The 18,627-nt window shown below is 53.5% G+C and overlaps 1 protein-coding gene and 1 pseudogene across 2 annotated transcripts in view, besides 3 other annotated features; one reads left to right on the top strand and one right to left on the bottom strand.

Annotated features, from left to right (window-relative positions):
- The window catches only part of SLC35E2B (solute carrier family 35 member E2B), a 31,318-nt gene extending 14,177 nt beyond the window's left edge, over positions 1-17,141 (top strand). For both annotated transcript variants that reach the window (NM_001110781.3, NM_001290264.2), the window contains 8 exons: positions 1,773-2,241; positions 2,420-2,555; positions 3,029-3,156; positions 6,990-7,110; positions 8,468-8,521; positions 8,883-8,955; positions 10,147-10,292; positions 12,600-17,141. In NM_001110781.3, the coding sequence (NP_001104251.1) occupies positions 1,920-2,241; positions 2,420-2,555; positions 3,029-3,156; positions 6,990-7,110; positions 8,468-8,521; positions 8,883-8,955; positions 10,147-10,292; positions 12,600-12,837 (1,218 nt within the window). In that variant the 5' untranslated portion in view covers positions 1,773-1,919 and the 3' untranslated portion in view covers positions 12,838-17,141. The remainder of the gene's footprint in view (positions 1-1,772; positions 2,242-2,419; positions 2,556-3,028; positions 3,157-6,989; positions 7,111-8,467; positions 8,522-8,882; positions 8,956-10,146; positions 10,293-12,599) is intronic.
- Positions 565-614: an enhancer, noted in NCBI's record as "active region_31". NCBI's record gives its function as "activates an Ori minimal core promoter by ATAC-STARR-seq in GM12878 lymphoblastoid cells {active_cell/tissue: GM12878}" and the evidence as "EXISTENCE:reporter gene assay evidence [ECO:0000049][PMID:35858748]".
- On the bottom strand, positions 4,184-5,336 carry LOC100288379 (ribosomal protein S7 pseudogene; annotated as a pseudogene).
- Positions 8,347-8,847: an enhancer, noted in NCBI's record as "H3K4me1 hESC enhancer chr1:1601211-1601711 (GRCh37/hg19 assembly coordinates)". NCBI's record gives its function as "activates a minimal SCP1, AML or CMV promoter by ChIP-STARR-seq in primed H9 embryonic stem cells {active_cell/tissue: H9 hESC(primed)}" and the evidence as "EXISTENCE:reporter gene assay evidence [ECO:0000049][PMID:30033119]".
- Positions 12,675-12,754: an enhancer, noted in NCBI's record as "active region_30". NCBI's record gives its function as "activates an Ori minimal core promoter by ATAC-STARR-seq in GM12878 lymphoblastoid cells {active_cell/tissue: GM12878}" and the evidence as "EXISTENCE:reporter gene assay evidence [ECO:0000049][PMID:35858748]".

The raw sequence follows: 18,627 nt of genomic DNA, 5'->3' as shown, positions 1-18,627 counted from the left end.
TCTCCTCACTGAGGCCTGGGGTGCCCTTGGAGGCAGCTGTCCTGGTGCACCGAGGGGTCAGGGCACACATGGGTGGCCTGGGAGCGTCTGGGTGGCACTGAGCTGGCGGTGTGATGGGCAGACGGGGAGACCTGGGTGCACAGACACACACAGCAGGGGGAGGGGAGGAGAGAGAGGAAGGCTGCAGAGGCCCTGGCATTGCCGCCACTGGGGAGAGGGCAGAAGCGCCTGTTCCCGGGTATGGGGAGGCCAAGTTTCAGGCACCTCTGAGCACTGCTGGGCAGGTGAGCTGGGGGAGAGGCCGGCCTGAGCACCCAGGCGAGGTCTTCATGGGGGAGGGGGTGGCGTGCGTCCCTCAGTGTGAACACAGAATATTTATGTATACATATGGCACGCACGCAAGTGCATAAACATAAACACAGAAGGAGGTCACGAATGAGGTGGGAACCCCAGTTTCCCGGGGGAGAAGTGAGACGAGGAGGGGTACTGGGTCGGGCAGCACGGCCGGCACCACACGCTCCCAGAGCGCCTTGGTGAGACAGGATGGGCGCCCCTTCAGATGCACAGCCTCCCCCGAAGCAGGAAGAGAAACCCAGGTGTGAGAAACAGGAAATCGGGCTGCCTGAGCGCTGGGATTGAGACCTGGGGGAGGTGGGGTCTCGGTGCTGCGGAGTCACAGTGGCGTCTGTGCAAAGCCCCAGCTGGGGGGATGATTCCCACTGGACCTCAGGAGGAAACGGCTGTTCTGACCTTCCTGGAGCTCGTGGGAAGGGAGGGGGTGTCTCGCCCCGAAGCCACAGTCGCCTGAGCGTGAAGCGGGTGTAAGTGTGGTTTTATACCACGGAGTCTGTCTAGAAAGTAGCATGGAACTTTAGGAGGCCGAGGTGGGCGGTTCACGAGGTCAGGAGATCGAGACCATCCTGGCTAACACGGTGAAAACCCGTCTCTACTAAAAAAAAAAAAATTACAAAAAATTAGCCGGACGTGGTGGCGGACGCCTGTCGTCCCAGCTACTCGGGAGCCTGAGGCAGGAGAATGGCGAGAACCCGGGAGGCGGAGCTTGCAGTGAGCCCAGATCACGCCTCTGCACTTCAGCCTGGGCGACAGAGCAATACTCCGTCTCAAAAAAAAAAAAAAAAAGGAAAAAGAAAGTAGCATGGAATTAGTCCTGGGCACCCGACAGCGGCAGCCACAAAGCCCATCGAGAAGGTGCAGCTGCCAGGCAGGGCGTGAAGGACCCACAGCCCCAGGTCTGCCAGGACGACAGTCAAGTGTGCCAGGAGACCGTCTCTCAAGAGCAAGGATCCGCCAACACGCGCAGAGAAAAACGGGATTCAATTGCTAAAAATCTTTGGACAGTGAACGATTGCATTTTCTTTTTTTCTTTTCTTGAGACAGAGTCTCACTCTGTCACTGAGGCTGGAGTGCAGTGGTATCATGTCGGCTCACTGCAACCTCCGTCTCCTGGGTTCAAGCAATTCTTCTGCCTCAGCCTCCCGAGTAGCTGGGATTACAGGCGCCGGCCACCATGCCCTGCTAGTTTTTATATTTTTAGTAGAGACGGGGTTTCGTCATGTTGGCCAGGGTGGTCTCGAACTCCTGACCTAAGGTGATCCACCTGCCTCGGCCTCCCAAAGTGCTGGGATTACAGGTGTGAGCCACCGTGCCCGGCCCAATTGCATTTTCAAAGTGATTTTAAATTGGTGGTTGAAACCTTTGAGGACATTAAATGTTCAAAACGGGTGATGTGTTTCCTTTTCTTAATATTTTAGCGTCTGCTTCTGCGCTTTGCCTGGGAGAGGCCCTGGTGGCCTCGTTCCTGGCGCCCGGAGTCCCTGCTGCGGCCCCACCCCCGGGCGGTCACGGTGACCCATGCTGCCCAGCCTGGAGGTAAAATCGTTCGTGGCTGTGGCTTCAGCATGTCGTCCTCGGTGAAAACCCCAGCACTGGAAGAGCTGGTTCCTGGCTCCGAAGAGAAGCCGAAAGGCAGGTCGCCTCTCAGCTGGGGCTCTCTGTTTGGTCACCGAAGTGAGAAGATTGTTTTTGCCAAGAGCGACGGCGGCACAGATGAGAACGTACTGACCGTCACCATCACGGAGACCACGGTCATCGAGTCAGACTTGGGTGTGTGGAGCTCGCGGGCGCTGCTCTACCTCACGCTGTGGTTCTTCTTCAGCTTCTGCACGCTCTTCCTCAACAAGTACATCCTGTCCCTGCTGGGAGGCGAGCCCAGCATGCTAGGTAGGCGGCGGCTCGGGCAGGGTGGAAGCCGGCCACCTGCCACCCCACAGGGAGCAGCCAGCAACCACCCGGGAGGGCCGGGGGAGCCCAGGTCAGGATGGGAGGCCGGGGGTGGAGCCCACTGCAGGCATGGGAGGGGTGATTCTCCCTCTTGTCTTCGGCCCCCTCCCTCCCGCAGGTGCGGTGCAGATGCTGTCCACCACGGTTATCGGGTGTGTGAAAACCCTCGTTCCTTGCTGTTTGTATCAGCACAAGGCCCGGCTTTCCTACCCACCCAACTTCCTTATGACGATGCTGTTTGTGGGTCTGATGAGGTAAAGAATCTCCTGGTTTTGGTTGAGTGTCTCTTTTTCTTTAAATGTAAAGTCCCTCTCGTTACTAGAGCGGGGACTCTGCTGGCTGGTGAGTTTTCAGTGCAGACTTTATAAAAGCACCAGGGCTGTCCAGATTTCAGGACACCAAATGAATGTGGCTTCGTGGCTCTCACTGCCACGTGTGTTCAGTCAGCTTCTTTCCGGGCTGGTGGTCTCAGGACAGGGTGCCTCCTTGTCTCTGGGACGTTTTCAAGGGGTGGCAGAAGTCACTTCCCATTGGACGCAGTGCCGTTTCCTGGGGGCTCGACCTAAAGCGTCACAGAAGCGGGTCCAGGCACCATGTTGGTGATGAGGAGGTGGGCGGAGAGGGGCCGACGTGCCAACCGAGCGAGCGAGCCCCTTGGAGAGCCTGCCCGGTGGGTGCAGGCAGACAGACTCGTTCTAAGGTGATGGTGCTTTTGGCTCATTTTTAGGTTTGCAACTGTGGTTTTGGGTTTGGTCAGCCTGAAAAATGTGGCGGTTTCGTTTGCTGAGACGGTGAAGAGCTCCGCCCCCATCTTCACGGTGATCATGTCTCGGATGATTCTGGGGGAGTACACAGGTGAGGCCCCCGGGCCCCGCCCCTCCGCCTGCGCCCCACCATCCCAGGCCTCCATCCGTGGTGCCCGTCTCTGCTGCCTGCCATGGGGCTCTGCCGCGAGGACCACTCAGAGTGGTGCCCACACTGGCAGTGCCTTCACTTCTCTCACGGTCACATGTGCGGGGGTGTCTTGGAGCCTGGCGTCTGCCAGGTATTCTCACACTGGCATGCGGAGGTCAGGGCAGGGTTGTGTCTGTGGCCCTAACTGGGTGGGGAGACAGGTGGGGGCTGGGCAGATTCCTGGCAAGCAAGATTACTGCAGGTGCCAATCACTGATCCGAAGAGGACGGGTGGGGGCCGCCTTCGGCCAGCACCACACAGGCGGCCGTGGCTCCTGGTCCGTGGGCCCTCCTGTGCCAGCACCCCACAGCCTCTCCAGCACCCGCCACCACAGGCCTGTCCTGGGCCCCAGCCCCTGACCTCAGCTGCAACCCAGGCTCCTGCCTCTCCCACCTCTTAATGACTCACAGGCGATTTCCAGCGACATGTCAGCCCCATGTCGCGTACCCAGTGTGGCTGCATGAAAACCAGCGAGGAGCAGAGGCGCCCACAGAGCGCGGCGTCTTGAACGGAGTCGGGGGGTGCACACGTGTTCGCTTATTTAAGAAACTACAAGATCTTAAGGCCGAGGGAAGTGTCTGTCTGCCTTTGGGGACGGGAGGAGGCCGAGGGTCCAGGATGGGGTTGGGCTTGCCCCACATGCACTTGAGACCCGCACACACGTTTAGGTGATTATAACAAAATCAAAGCCTAAAAGTCAACTCTGGTTTTTTTTTGTTTTTTTTTTTTTGTTTTTTTTATGTTTTTGAGACAGGGTCTTGCTCTGTCGCCCAGGCTGCAGTGCAGTGGCGAGGTCACGACTCACTGCAACCTCGGCCTCCCAGGCTTAGGCAATCCTCCCACCTCAGCCTGTTGGGTAGCTGGGACCTCAGGCATGTGCCACCATGCCCAGCTAATTTTTGTATTTTGTGTGTCTTTTTGTTTTTTCACTGTGAATATACGTTAGTCATTTTTCTTAACAATTGAAACTTGGAACTCTGGGGATTCAGAATTAACAGCCTTGGCTGTGAGCTTATCGATACCAGAAAAAGTTTGGACCTTGCGTTCCACGTTATTCTGCTGGGCTTTGTCCGAATGAACCCTTGTGAGCTGCTGTGTCCATTTCACGCCGATTCTCCTGCCCACAATTTCACCTGGGAAGACCGAGTCCTCGAGGATTGCGACGTGCGCAGCTGTCGGAGCGTGGATCCTGGGACGCTTTTGCTTATTTTTTGTACACCTTTTTTGAGTTGGTTTAGGCAGAATTTTCCTCTAAGCAATAGACGACATACTTACCAGTGAACTTTTTCTCCAATTCACGTACTAGCCAGACTTGGATGTTCTGGAATTATTTCAGTGGCAGAACAGGAACAAAGATTATGATAACTTCCTTTTTTTTTTCTTTTTTTTTTTTTTCTTTTTTGAGAGGAGTCTTGCTCTCTCGCCCAGGCTGGAGTGCAGTGGCACGATCTTGGCTCACTGCAAGCTCCATCTCCCGGGTTCTCGCCATTCTCCTGCTTCAGCCTCCTGAGTAGCTGGGACTACAGGCGCCCACCACTGCGTCCGTCTAATTTTTTGTATTTTTAGTAGAGACTGGGTTTCACCGTGTTAGCCAGGATGGTCTCGATCTCCTGACCTCGTTGATCCGCACGCCTCAGCCTCCCAAAGTGCTGGGATTACAGGTGTTAGCCACCACAGCCGGCCCTCTTTTTTTTGAGATGGAGTCTCGCTTTGTTGCCCAGGCTGGAGTGCAGTGGCGCAATCTTGGCTCACTGCAGCCTCTGCCTCCCGGGTTCAAGTGATTCTCCTGCTTCGGCCTCCTCTGAGTAGCTGGGATTACAGGCATGTGGCCCCACACCCAGCTAATTTTTGTATTTTTAGTAGAGATGGGGTTTCACCATGTTGGCCATGCTGGTCTTGAGCTCCTGACCTCGTGATCTGCCCGCCTCAGCCTCCCACAGTGCTGGGATTCCAGGCGTGAGCTGCTGCACCTGCCCATAATAACTTTCTCACCACCACCAACTTCAGTTTCCCTCACTGCTGTAATATTCAGCTCCCTGAGCTGGGCCTTGAGGTCCGAGTTCATCTCCAGCTCCAGAAGAATCTAAGAAGGCAAGAACACCAGGGTCAACCCTCAGTGCGTGTATGAGCACCCCCAGCCTCATTTTTGTGTTTTCTATAGAGATGGGGTCTCGCTGTGTTGCCCATGCTGGTCCTGAACTCCTTATCTCAAGTGATCCTCCTGCCTCGGCCTCCTAAAGTGCTGGGATTACAGCCATCAGCCGCCGTGTCCGGCTTTAAAAAGCAATCCTAAAAATCGTAAACAAAATGACACAGAGGAACCTTATTGCGCATCGAGCCATGCAAGAAAGGAGCCGTTTATTTCCAGCAAGTTTAAACATCGATTTGACCTCCAGCCATGGTCGATGAGATGTTAGAAAACCAACTCTCTTGCTGACAACAATGAGAAAATCTTGATACCATTTAGCAAAAAGAAGTCTGTGGGGGAGGCGTTGGAGAGTGACGGAACTGCCAGGGCCTGAGGCACCCGGCTTCCGGTGCCTCTGGCAGCCCAGAGAAGTGACTCTGTCTGTCTTAAGGCACCACCCTCCCCGGTGCATTTGCTGATGGTTTCTGAGCAGAGCAGTCTCCTGGGGCTGGAGGGGCACAAGCTGGAATGGGCGCCCCACCATGGGGACCCCCAGATGCCAGACCTTCAACTGAGATAGGAATCTGGTGCTGGATATAGGCGTCTATGGCACCCCAGCTGCATGTCAACAGCAGCAGCAAGCCCTCCTTGAAGGGTGAAACGGCATTCACAGTCTCCAGTTTTCTCTACAATTTTCATAAATGTTGTCCGTGATTCAACCAGAGTTTCCAGCAGAGGCCGAGACCAGGTGACGGCAGACGAGAGGACGCCCCTCTGGCTGGAGCCTCCCCGCACAGACTCGGGTCCCTCTGCTACGCCAGGGTCTCGACTGGGCAGTATCTGTGGGTTTCCCACGTTAACTTGTCTCAGGTTTCTCTTTCTTCTTTTGAGACAAGGTCTCACTCTATCGTCCAGGCTGGAGCGCAGTGGCATGGTCACAGCCCACTGCAGCCTCGGCCTCCCCCGTGCAGGTGATCTTCCCACCTCAGCCTCCCCAGTAGCCGGGACACACACCCAGCTAATTTTTGTATTGTTTGTAGAGGCGGGGTCTCACCTTTGCTCAGCCCTGTTCTTGAACCCCTGGGCTCAAGTGATCCTCCTGCCTCAGCCTCCCAAAGTGCTGGGATTACAGGTGTGAGCGGTGTTCCATAGATTTTTTAAAAATCCTTCACGTAAAAGTTTTTTGTTACATTTCAGAAGGAAACAGAAAAGCATAAATTCAATGTGGGCATCCCCCTCCCGGCCCACAGGGCCTCTTTCTCTGCAGTTCCCTGGGGACCATCTCCTTCACACTCACCGTTTCACAGGAGCGTTCACAGAATCAGGAAGGTTTCTGTGGCTCACCTGCCCATGGCTGGGGCTCAGTCTCTGGGGGACGCATCTCATGTAGAGTGAAAGGCGCCACCTTTGCCGTGGGGACGGGACTTATTTGCAGACACGGACTTTGATTTGCTTTATCTCACAATGTGAAGAAACTGACAAGTATTGTTTTTGAATTGAAGGAAGCATCCGTTCCTTTCATAAGAGGGGATGGAAACAGCCTGGCCCTCGGGAGGGAGCGTCCGCCCGGCGGGTCAGCCACTCACAGGGGCTGTCCTCTCGCCAGGGCTGCTGGTCAACCTCTCCCTCATCCCAGTCATGGGCGGGCTGGCGCTGTGCACGGCCACTGAGATCAGCTTCAATGTCCTGGGGTTCTCGGCCGCACTGTCCACCAACATCATGGACTGGTGAGTCACAGAGAAGGTGGGCGTGAGGGGGACGAGACCCGGTGCTCACCTGCATCTGGGTGTGCAGATTCTCAGGTGAGCTGAGAATTCCTCCCGTGAGCCAAAGCAGGTGCGTCCAATGCTGCCCTTTCCTAAAGAGCAAAACAACAGGTATCCCCGGCAGGTAAGTTTCTCAAAAATAAGCCGAAATTTCAGGATGGACGGTCTTGGTACTTAAAATGCTAACCATGGAGACACGGTTAGCTGACAAATGCTGAAATACGCAGATACGCTCAGCAGTGTGTCTCGCTCGGTGTGTCTTCATGCGGCTGCCAGAGCAGGGACAGTCCCCCAGCGGCAGGTTCTGCCTGTTTGGGAGCTGCGCGGCCTCCAGGTCGGGCGGATCCTCTGCTTCCTTGTGGCCATCTGTGTCCTGGTGTCACGATGGCAGGAAGGATGAGAGGCCGACTCCCACAGCGAGGACAGCGCGTGGCAGGCTCCCAGAGGAGAGGGCCCTGTTATTTACGTCTTTGTCACTCGGTAGAGAAGAGCGGTGGACGCTGCACTTCGGGGGCCGTTCAGATTCACCCAGAATTGGGCGTCCACCTCCCTGCCGTGCTGTTAATGGCCACACTCCAGCCCCGGCAAAACCTGCCCTTTGAGAATGACCGGCTTCTAGGCTTTTCCTGCTTTTGAGGAAAGAAAGGAAAAGACACCACCACTGGTGTCTGAGAGTTTATCATTATTACTGATAATCAAAACAGGTTTGTGGTGAGATTTTGAATAATACAGAAGTAAAAATAAAAATATGTTGGGCACAGTGGCTCACGCCTGTAATCCCAGCACTTTGGGAGGCCAAGGCGGGTGGATCACGAGGTCAGGAGATCGAGACCATCCTGGCTAACATGGTGAAACCCCGTCTCTACTAAAAATACAAAAGATTAGTCGGGCATAGTGGCGGACGCCTGTAGTCCCAGCTACTGGGGAGGCCGAGGAAAGAGAGTGGCGTGAACCTGGGAGGCGGAGCTTGCAGTGAGCCGAGATTGCGCCACTGCACTCCAGCCTGGGCGACAGAGCCAGACTCTGTCTCAAAAAAAAAAAAAAAATCTGTTGGGCGTGGTGGCTCACACTTGTAATCCCAGCACTTTGGGAGGCTGAGGCGGGTGGATCACTTGAGGTCAGGAGTTGGAGACCAGCCTGGCCAACACGGTGAAACCCTATCTCTACTAAAAATAAAAAAAGTAACCAGGCGTGGTGGCGGGCACCACTGAGGTCTGGTCATTGTCGCCATCGCTCCGTGTGAGCGCAGACACCTTCTCCCCCTGATGTTCCGTGCCGAGGACTAGTATTGATGCATAACCTCTTTTCTTTATTCTAGTTTGCAAAATGTTTTTTCAAAAAAGCTGCTCAGCGGGGACAAATACAGGTTCTCGTAAGTATTATTCGTCAGTGAAATCTCCAAGTCATAAGACGAAGAGGACTTCCTGCTCACTGTAAGAGTCAGAACACCCCACAGGCCTGACTCCCTTCCTGTCTGGCTTGGGTGGCCTTTACAAGTACCCTGTCTAAGCTCGGGAGGGACCCGCCCGTTTCTCAGCTACTCCCTTGAGCCCCTCAGCCAGCCTGGTGTGCGTTTGCGTTTTCATTTCTGGGAAGCTGCAGCACCCTAGTCCTGTCTAGAGAGAATGAACGTCTTCTGGGCTGGGGTGCCTGGGTGTTCTTGCTGTGAGGGAGCTGCGTGTGAACTCGGCCTGTCCCGACACGGGGGGCCCAGCGTGTTCTGTCACCCACAGGGCCCCGGAGCTGCAGTTCTACACCAGCGCCGCTGCGGTGGCCATGCTCGTCCCGGCCCGGGTTTTCTTTACGGTGGGTTTCAGACACAGGCGTCCCGTCCTTACTTGCCGGGCTGCCTTCTCCGGTGATTCAGGAGCAGAATGACTTCCGTTTCCAGGCCGTGTGCTGGCTGGTTGGGCCCAGCTCCGCTGCGGGTCCTGCTTAGCTGAGTTGCCCTGGGAGCCACTCGGGGTTTGCAGCTCAGATTTCTGTGTGAAGACTTTTATTTTGTTTATTGTTTGTTTGTTTTGTTTTGATTCTTCATCATTCAACTTGAGATGACTTTTAGGTTAGCTTAATTTCTTTTTTTTATTAGAAAAACTTTTTTTTTTTATTTTTATAAAGAGTCTCGCTCTGTATCCCAGGCTGGAGTGCAATGGTGTGATCTCTGCTCACTGCAAAGTCTGCCTACCAGGCTCAAGTTATTCTCCTGCCTCAGCTTCCCAAGTAGCTGGGACCTGCAATTTGTAGACTTCCCTAGAGTCCCCCACACAGAGGGTTCTCTGTGTGAGATGCAGTTTCAAGTTCTTATTGCGGTTTTCTGGATTTTAATCCATTAGCTGTCAAGGCTGACTGACTTGGCCATTCTCCCTGCAGGGAAGTTGTGGTTGCCGGCCAGGGCCATCAGTTCTTGTGCGTGTATACCCAGCAGTGGAAGTGCTGGATTATATAATAATTCTATATTTAATTTTTTTTTTTTTTTTTGGAGATGATATCTCACTCTGTTGCCCAGGCTGGGGTACAGTGGTGCGATCTCAGCTCACTGCAACCTCTGCCTCCCGGGTTTAAGTGATTGTCCTGCCTCAGCCTCCCGAGTAGCTGGGATTACAGGCGCCCACCACCACGCCTGGCTAGTTTTTATGTTTTTAGCAGAGACGAGGTTTCACCGTGTTGGCCAGACTGGCCATGCCCGGCCCCGCATTGGGGTTTCTGTTGCATTTTCCTGATGATGGTGACGTTCAGCCTCTTTCATGTGCTTGTTGTCCATTTGCATCTGCATGGTGAAAATTAATTAGTGCAAAAAATAATAAAAACAAACAAACAAAAAAAACAGAAAATGGATGAGTGCACAGTCCAGCTGTCCGCTCGAGGCATTTTCAGGGCTGTCCTCAGTGGCAGCAGCTTTACCCAGTTTCTGGGCAGGAGTGGCGCTGGGCGTTTTTGGTGGATGATTAGTAAATGGAAAATGGAAACCGATAGAGTACCCTTTTGTTTGCCACATAGGACGTCCCAGTGATCGGGAGGAGTGGGAAGAGCTTCAGCTACAACCAGGACGTGGTGCTGCTGCTTCTGACAGACGGAGTCCTGTTCCACCTTCAGAGCGTCACGGCGTACGCCCTCATGGGGAAAATCTCCCCGGTGACTTTCAGGTGAGCAGAGGAACTTCCCAAGAGTTGAGTGTGTCCAGGTTGTTTACAAAGGAGACCAGAAATCTAGGTATTTTTATAAGGGACACATGTGATTCTCTTCCACGGGGATGAGTGTGGCTATGCAGTGTAATTACTAGGCTATTTTATACCCATGCTGTTTGAAATGCAAACGATAGGCCGGGCCCAGTGGCTCATGCCTGTAATCCCAGCACTTGAGAGGACAAGGCAAGTGGATCACTTGAGGTCAGTAGTTCAAGACCAGCCTGGCTAACATGGTGAAACCCCATCTCTACTAAAAATACAAAAATTAGCCGGGTGTGATGCTGGGCACCTGTAATCCCAGCTACTCGGGAGGCTGAGGCAGGAGAATCACTTGAATCCAGGAGCCGGAGGTTACAGTGAGTTGAGATCTCACCACTGCACTCCAGCCTGGGGGATGGGAGCGAGAGTCCTTCTCAAAAAAAAAAAAACAGAAAAACAAATGAGAAACTGTAAAATAAACCGTAAACTGTGTGAAATAGGTATTTAGGGAAATCTCCACTAGAAGTCTCTGCGTTTGAAGGTTTTTGAAATTGAGTGCTTTTCTGTCTAGAATAGTCGGGCGTTGCGACTAGTCTTGTCTGCAGGAATGGAATGGTCTCTTCTGGGCTGTCCAGTGCAGGAGCCACTGGCCACATACAGCTTCTGAGCACTTGAAATGTGGAGAATATAACAAGAACCAGATTAGGAATTCAAGCTGATTGCTGTCAGTTTGAACTTGAACAGACACCTGTGGCCACTGCTTCCTGTGCCGTGCGGTGCAGCTCTAGAAACGGGGAGGATCCTTCAGCTTCTTTCCACTTCTGTAACTGGGCAGATTGAATGAAGCTGCAATTTATTTGTTTATGTATTTTATTTTATTTATTTATTTTTTTGAGACAGAGTCTCACTCTTTCACCCAGGCTGGAGTTCAGTATCGCAGTCTCGGCTCACTGCAAGCTCCGCCTCCCGGGTTCACGCCATTCTCCTGCCTCCGCCTCCCGAGTAGCTGGGACTACAGGCGACTGCCACCACGCCCGGCTAATTTTTTTTTTTTGTATTTTTTAGTAGAGACAGGGTTTCACCGTGTTAGCCAGGATGGTCTCGATCTCCTGACCTTGTGATCTGCCCGCCTCAGCCTCCCAAAGTGCTGGGATTACAGGCGTGAGCCACCGCGCCCTGCCTATGTATTTTATTTTTCCCGAAACAGAGTCTTGCTCTGTCACCCAGAGCTGGATTTCTCTGGTTTGATCTCGGCTCACTGCAACCTCCGCCTCCCGGGTTGAAGTGATTCTCCTGCCTCAGCCTCCCAAGTAGCTGGGATTACAGGCGTGTGCCACCATGCCCGGCTAATTTTTGTATTTTTAGTGGAGACGGGGTTCACCATATTGGCCAGGCTGGTCTCAAACTCCTGACCTCAGGCGATCCGCCCGCCTCGGCCTCCCACAGTGCTGGGATTACAGGCGTGAGCCACGGCGCCCGGCCTCCACAGTGCTGGGATGACAGGCTGAGCCCCCGTGCCCGGCCTCCCACAGTGCTGGGGTTATACACATGAGCCCCCACGCCCAGCCTCCCACAGTGCTGGGGTTACAAGCATGAGCCCCCACACCCAGCCTCCCACAGTGCTGGGGTTACAGACATGAGCCCCCACGCCTAGCCTCCCACAGTGCTGGGATTCCAGGCTAAGCCGCTGCGCCCGGTGATGTTCTTGTTCTTTAGAGAGCAGGCTGAAGTACTCAGGGGTGAGATGTCATGATACCTGTAATTTACTTAAAAATATTTCATCTGGGTGTGGTGGCTCACGCCTATGATCCCAGCTCTGTGGGAGGCCCAGGTGGGAAGATCACTTGAGCCCAGGATTTGAAGACCAGCCTGGGCTACATAGTGAGACCCACCTCGATTGGATGAAGCTGATGAGGCGGATGTCATGAATTCCTGCGTCTAGATCACAGGACGTGGCCGTTACTTAGGTTTCTCCTCCTCTGCCTTTTTTAATAATGAAAAGTACCCCTCAAAAAAGAAGGGACGAGGGAGCAGGCAAGCCCCGCTGAAAGCTCCCAAACCCCTGGGCTGATCTCACCACCACCGAGGTCCCGTTGAGCACCCCCGCCCCATCCTGGCCTCCAGACCCGGGGTCAGCCGAGCTGCTGGCCGCAGGGCTGATGTCACCGTGACGCTGAGTCCCCCAACCCCACCCAGCCTCCAGACCCAGGCTCAGCCGAGCTGCTGGCCACGGGCTGAGGAGACCATAGCCCTGAGCGCCCCTGCTGCCTCCCCTTGCCTCCGCAGCGTCGCCAGCACCGTGAAACATGCCTTGTCCATCTGGCTCAGCGTAATCGTTTTCGGCAACAAGATCACCAGCTTGTCGGCCGTTGGCACAGCCCTGGTGACCGTTGGGGTCCTGCTCTACAACAAAGCCAGGCAACACCAGCAGGAGGCGCTGCAGAGCCTGGCTGCAGCCACTGGCCGGGCCCCAGACGACACAGTGGAGCCGCTGCTTCCACAGGACCCCAGGCAGCATCCCTGAGAGCAGGAAGCTGCCAGCTGCTGCTGTCCTCGTGACACTGCATCCCCCAGAAATGGGCAGGGACGCCCTCCTCCATGGCCCTGCTGGGGTGCAGGACATGGGGAGCTAAGTTGGCCATTGCCTGCGGCTTTCTCGGTTTGTCGGTGAAGACCAGCAGAAACTCAAACTGGGGATTCCAGGTATCAGCTTCCTGGAGTAGAGACCAGACCAGTAGCTGACTGTGTCCGCCGAGCCCATCCCCGTGTAATGTGAAAACAGCCTCTGAGGCTCCCATGCTGGGGGTGCCCACTTCCTCTCTGGGCGACACCCCAGGGTCCACCGGGAGCCAGAGGTGGGTCCAGTGCCAACGAGAGCCGCTCCCTGCCACAGCCAAGAGAGCCCTCGGCTTCCCACACCAGCCATCGAAGGCCCTGAGGCCCTGGACCGGCGGCAGACTGGCCCTGGGCATGAGGCCACAGAGCAGGGCCGAAGGGAGGGGACAGAGGGCCCTGGAAGGAAGGGTCTCCTGCTGCCACGGTGGGCACTCAGAACTTCTCCCCACCTGACCCAGGGCTGTGGGCATCCTCAGACTATCCCAGAGGCATCGCAAGCCTCAAGCTGCAGCATTGCACGGCACTCAAGGGCTATGACCACGGAGGCCGTTCAGTCGCTTCTGTTTAGAGGAAGGCCCCCTACCTCTTCCACACCCTGCCCTCCTATCCCTTCCACACCCTGGGCTGCGTGAGCTCCCCGCAACCCCAGGGCACCCTGCCCTCCTACCTGTGGGGGTTTCCAGCCCTGAGGTTGAGGACAAACCTCTCGTGTTTAACTTGGGAGGAGATGTGTACGTTCCTTTTCTTTTTTGGACTCTGAGTATGAGGCAGGCTGTTCTGAGGTCCCCGTGGGGTGAGCCTGTCTGTCCTCCCTCAGAGCCCACTGTTCCTATCATCATCTAGCACCTGTCCGGTTCCCCACGTGAGCCTTGGGCAGGACGCTGCAGTGTTGATGGTTTGGGTTACGTGGCGTTTACCTGGGCGCCGTCCTTACTGAAAAAGGAAACGTCCACACTGAATGTTTCTGGGGCGCGTGGTGTGTGTCAGGCGCCCACCCTGTCCCACTCTCCCCAAGGGACAGTAGTACGGCACACTGGGGCCACCAGCCAGCTCAACTCATCCTCCTGTGTCACGCACCCCCGAGGGCGCAGGAGGCCTGAGGAGTGGCTACTGGAGCCGTGTGTTAGGCAGAGGCTTCTGACCATGTCTGAGCTCTTTACCCCCAATCTCGCAGCTGGCGGATTCCCATGCCCGGTGCAGCCTGTTGCCAGCCAGCCTTTGAGACCCAGAGCTCCAGGGCTTGTCAGAGGCAGCATGGGGCTCCAGTGGTCCCGAGTCTCATTTCCCTGCCTGCTCTTTAGGCCTTTGGCACCCATGGTCACTTCACTGGCTTTCCATTTGGCTTCTCACCTGGGAAATACAAAAATAGCCCCTCCTGAAGATAAAATCATTCAGAAACAGAGCAATAATTCTGACTCATTAACTTCTACCTACTCAAAAAAGTCTGCCATGATGATGGACCGAAGTGAGGCTTTTTAACCCACAAGTAACCTTTTTATTTTTTTGAGACAGTCTTGCTCTGTCTGTCACCCAGGCTGGAGTACAGTGGCATGATCTTGGCTCACTGCAGCCTCGACTTCCTGGGCTCAAATGATCCTCCCACCTCAGCCTCCCATGTGGCTGGAACCACAGGCACGTGCCACCATGCCTGGCTATTTTTTTGTTGAGCTGGGCTCTCGCTTTGTTGCCCAGGCTGGTCTTGAACTCCTCGGCTCAAGCAATCCTTCCCACTCAGCCTCCTGTAGTGTCGAGAATATAGGCGTGGGCTACTACACCTGCTTCAGCCGCTTCTATAAAACCGCTGACCTGTGTGTGGAGGACAGGCCAGGTGTGTGCTCACTGCGCTGCGAAGATGTTTTGTCACGTGACTTTCCCCGGATTTCCATTTCTTTTTTTCTGCTTTCCTCAAAAACTAATAGAAGACTGGGTGCGGTGGCTCACGCCTCTAATCGCAGCACTTTGGGAGGCAGCAGCTGGCGGATCACAAGGCCAGGAGTTCGAGACCAGCCTGGCCAACATGATGAAACCCTGTCTCTACCAAAAATACAAAAATTAGCTGGGTGCGATGGTGGGTGCCTGTAATCCCAGATACTCAGGAGGCTGAGGCAGGAGAATTGTTTGAACCCCGGAGATGGAGGTTGCAGTGAGCCAAGATCGTGCCATTGCACTCCAGCCTGGGCAACAGGGCAAGATTCCGTCTCAAAAACAAACACTATTAGAAAATGCCCTGGAGGTGGCGGGGAGTTGTTGATTTGTGAGGACAGATTGAAAGCAACTCCCAGGGTGGCCTTGTCCACCTCCCCGTCGAGAATGTGGCTGCCGGCCTCTTTGAAGATTGTGGTCTGGCATAAGGAGAGGTGCAGGCGCCTGGTTCTGAGCACCTTGGAATTTCCAGCCGCACAGCATCTGGTGCCCTCCCCTCCACCCTCACAAGGAGCTGCCATCCTGTTTGGATTTTCTGTTTGTGGACCAGAAACAAACGTTTTTCCAAAGGATTAGCAAATAGGGTAATTTCCTGTGTAACGCTGCTCTGGGGCCTCTTCCTCATCCTGGCAGAAGGAGCCTGGAGCCCATGAGGCAGCCAGCACTGTGCCCTTGCTCAGTCGTGCTGTCCCCTCCCTCTCCCTCAGTCTCCTCTCCATGCCCAAGTCAGTTTCCAGCCGCTGGTCTTCATGGCATTCCCAGCACAGCCGGGCACCAAGAGGCAAAACCCAAGGCCTGGCTTGGCCGTGTTAACGATTGTACAGACATTTTTTAAAATAACTTTGTGTAATACTTTTCTGGAATAGTAAGTTCTTGTTGAACTGTCACAGGTGAGCTTCTAGGAACACACCAGGTGTGGTTACTTCCACTGGGTGTGTCCATGGTCGTGGTCTGTGCTTTTGTAAACGAACAGAACACTTGAACCACCTCCCGAATTGGGTCATCGGCTTCTTTACGTTGATACTTAAGAGATTTGCAGCTCTCTTTCAAGGAAACTTCCCCTACTGAAAGGCATAAAAAGGTTAAAAAAGAAAATCCGAGAGTCCCAATTCCCTGTATAACAGCATTAAAATAATCTGCCTGCCTGGAAAGATGAGAACACTGTTGCACAACCCAAAATGTGTCTTTAATTTGTGAAAAATTACCATGGTGAGTCAGACAGTCATTTTAAACAGCTGAACAGAGACTATCATCAGCAAATAGAGCTCAGCTTTGTAGCTGCCTTTAAAATCCTTGTCCCAAATCCGGTGAGCTCTGCTTGCTGCCGCCGCGCTCCTGGGTGATCACTCAGACGGGTCAGTGGGAATAACAGGCCAACAAGACAGCTTTTTACATGTGTCCAAAGGATGGCCTTTCGAAGGCCTGGAAGTATTTCACTGTTGGAAGAAGTAAACAAGAATGACATTCCAGATGGAAATAGAATTCTCTCTCTTGCCTTTGACCAACATGGTACTAAGGGGTTTCTTCTTTCCCAATGTATGTACGTGCCCTGCTGGGGGCCTTACTTTATAGAATGAGAGCATCCGAGCTTCCCTAATGAATCTGGCTAGTTCTGTGTCTGGCTGAGGATACAGGAGTGGGACATCCACTCTCGGATCCCTCAGAGCACAGAAACCTTCAGCTTTGCTGTCTCTGAAGTATTTCCTCCAGTTTCCCTGCGGGCCCCTATGTTTGAGTTTGATGGCTGCTGGATCCTCACTCAACGAAAACTCGGTTGGAAACTGTTCCGCCTGGCAGTCCTTTTTTGTTGTTTTCCATCTCATTTCCCTTCCATCTGAAAGTGGCATTCAGCTGACTTGCTCATTTAGACTGTTCACGGAGTCTGAATCTGCCAACGTGGTGTTGGAGGCTCCACCTTGAAAAGGGCCACAGTCAGGGCAACTTTCCCCATACAGGAAAACTTGAAAATTACATCAACAGTCTACGTCACAGCCAAATTATATTTCCTTTATACCAAACAAAACTATGGAGAACTAAAAGTACATCACACAAAACGTTTATAGTGTTTTGCATGTGACCTATTTCAGTATTTATATAACTAGATTAGTGCTTTCTAGCAAACGGTTCTGTTAATTAGCGAGTCACTGTTGATTCTGCTGTGGTGGTAAGTTGATACCGTGTAACTAATCCCGTGGATGCCTCCTCGTTATTTTTGTCCAAACGAAGCAGCCGTGGTAGTAGCTGTCTATGATTCTTGCTCAGCAAAGTAAAATAAATGTTAAATATGGACTGCTTTGTTTTCTTCCTTGTGGAACTCTGGTGTTCATGCTACTTTGTTCACCGGTGGGGCTGGCTGTTGCTAGCAAAGAGGCTCTTCACAGAAGTGGCTGAACCCAAAGTTCTGGTTGGGAAAGGCCTTTGTGGCAGCTCCTATCAAGCGCAAGTGCGAGGCCACCCCCTCCTCGTGGGCTCTGGGGTCGATTTTGTTAGGGTTTGACATGAGTGGCTGCATTTGGGTACTCACAGATTTCACAAAGGAAGGGTAAACTGGAGATTTTTGGCCGGGCACGGTGGCTCATGACTATAATTTCAGCACTGTGGGAGGCTGGTGGGCAGATACTTTAGGTCAGGAGTTCAAGACCAGCCTGGCCAACATGGCAAAATCCTGTCGCTACTAAAAATACAAAAGTTAGCCAGGTGTGGTGGCGCACGCCTATAATCCCAGCTACTCGGGAGGCTGAGGCAGGAGAATCACTTGTACCCAGGAGGCGGAGGCTGCAGTTACCCAAAATTGTGCCACTGCACTCCAGCCTGGGTGACACAGCGAGACTTTTTCTCAAAACAGAAAAAAACGTGCTGTGGCTCACGCCTGTAATCCCAACCCTTTGGGAGGCCAAGGCAGGCAGATCACAAGGTCATGAGATCAAGACCATCCTGGCTAATACAGTGAAACCCCATCTCAACTAAAAACACAAAAAAATTAGCCGGGCGTAGTGGTGGACGCCTGTAGTCCCAGCTACTCGGGAGGCTGAGGCTCGCAGGATAATGGCGTTGAACCCGGGAGGTGGGGCTTGCAGTGAGCCGAGATTGCGCCACTGCACTCCAGCCTGGGCGACAGAGCAAGACTCCGTCTCAAAAAAAAATAAAAATAAAAAAATAGGGAGATTTCCCCAGTTACCAAGAACTCAGGAAGCAACATTAAGAGCTTGGGGGAGGCCAGGCGCGGTGGCTCACGCCTGTAATCCCAGCACTTTGGGAGGCAGAGGCAGGCTGATCACGAGGTCAGGAGATTGAGACCATCCTGGCTAACACGGTAAAACCCCGTCTCTACCCAAAATAAAAAAAAAATTAGCCGGGCATGGTGGCAGGCGCCTGTAGTCACAGGTACTCAGGAGCCTAATGCGGGCGAATGGAGTGGAGGCGGGAGAATGGCGTGAACCCGGGTGGCGGAGCTTCCAGTGACCCGAGATCGCGCCACTGCACTCCAGCCTGGGCAACAGAGCGAGACTCCGTCTCAAAAAAATAAAAATAAAAAAAGAGCTTGGGTACACAAAGCAAGCAGCATTTCATTCCGGGATGAAAAAAATTCCGATACCCATCGCCCTTCTTGGGCCCTTGTCAGTTTCTTGCCACATCTTTCATTTTCCCATTTCAGGCCCAGTAAATGCGGATGTTTATCTTCCATTGTTTGTTTCCTGAGATTCAGATGTCTAAAGCATTTTTCTGTGACTTTTCAAGTCAAGAGGAAAACCTGACATATGGAAAGGGAATTAAT

Source organism: Homo sapiens, chromosome 1 (assembly GCF_000001405.40).
Source record: "Homo sapiens chromosome 1, GRCh38.p14 Primary Assembly".
In the NCBI taxonomy this organism is placed as follows: domain Eukaryota; kingdom Metazoa; phylum Chordata; class Mammalia; order Primates; family Hominidae; genus Homo; species Homo sapiens.
The sequence above is the reverse complement of the archived record's forward strand: the minus strand, read 5'-3'. Positions and strand labels throughout refer to the sequence as shown.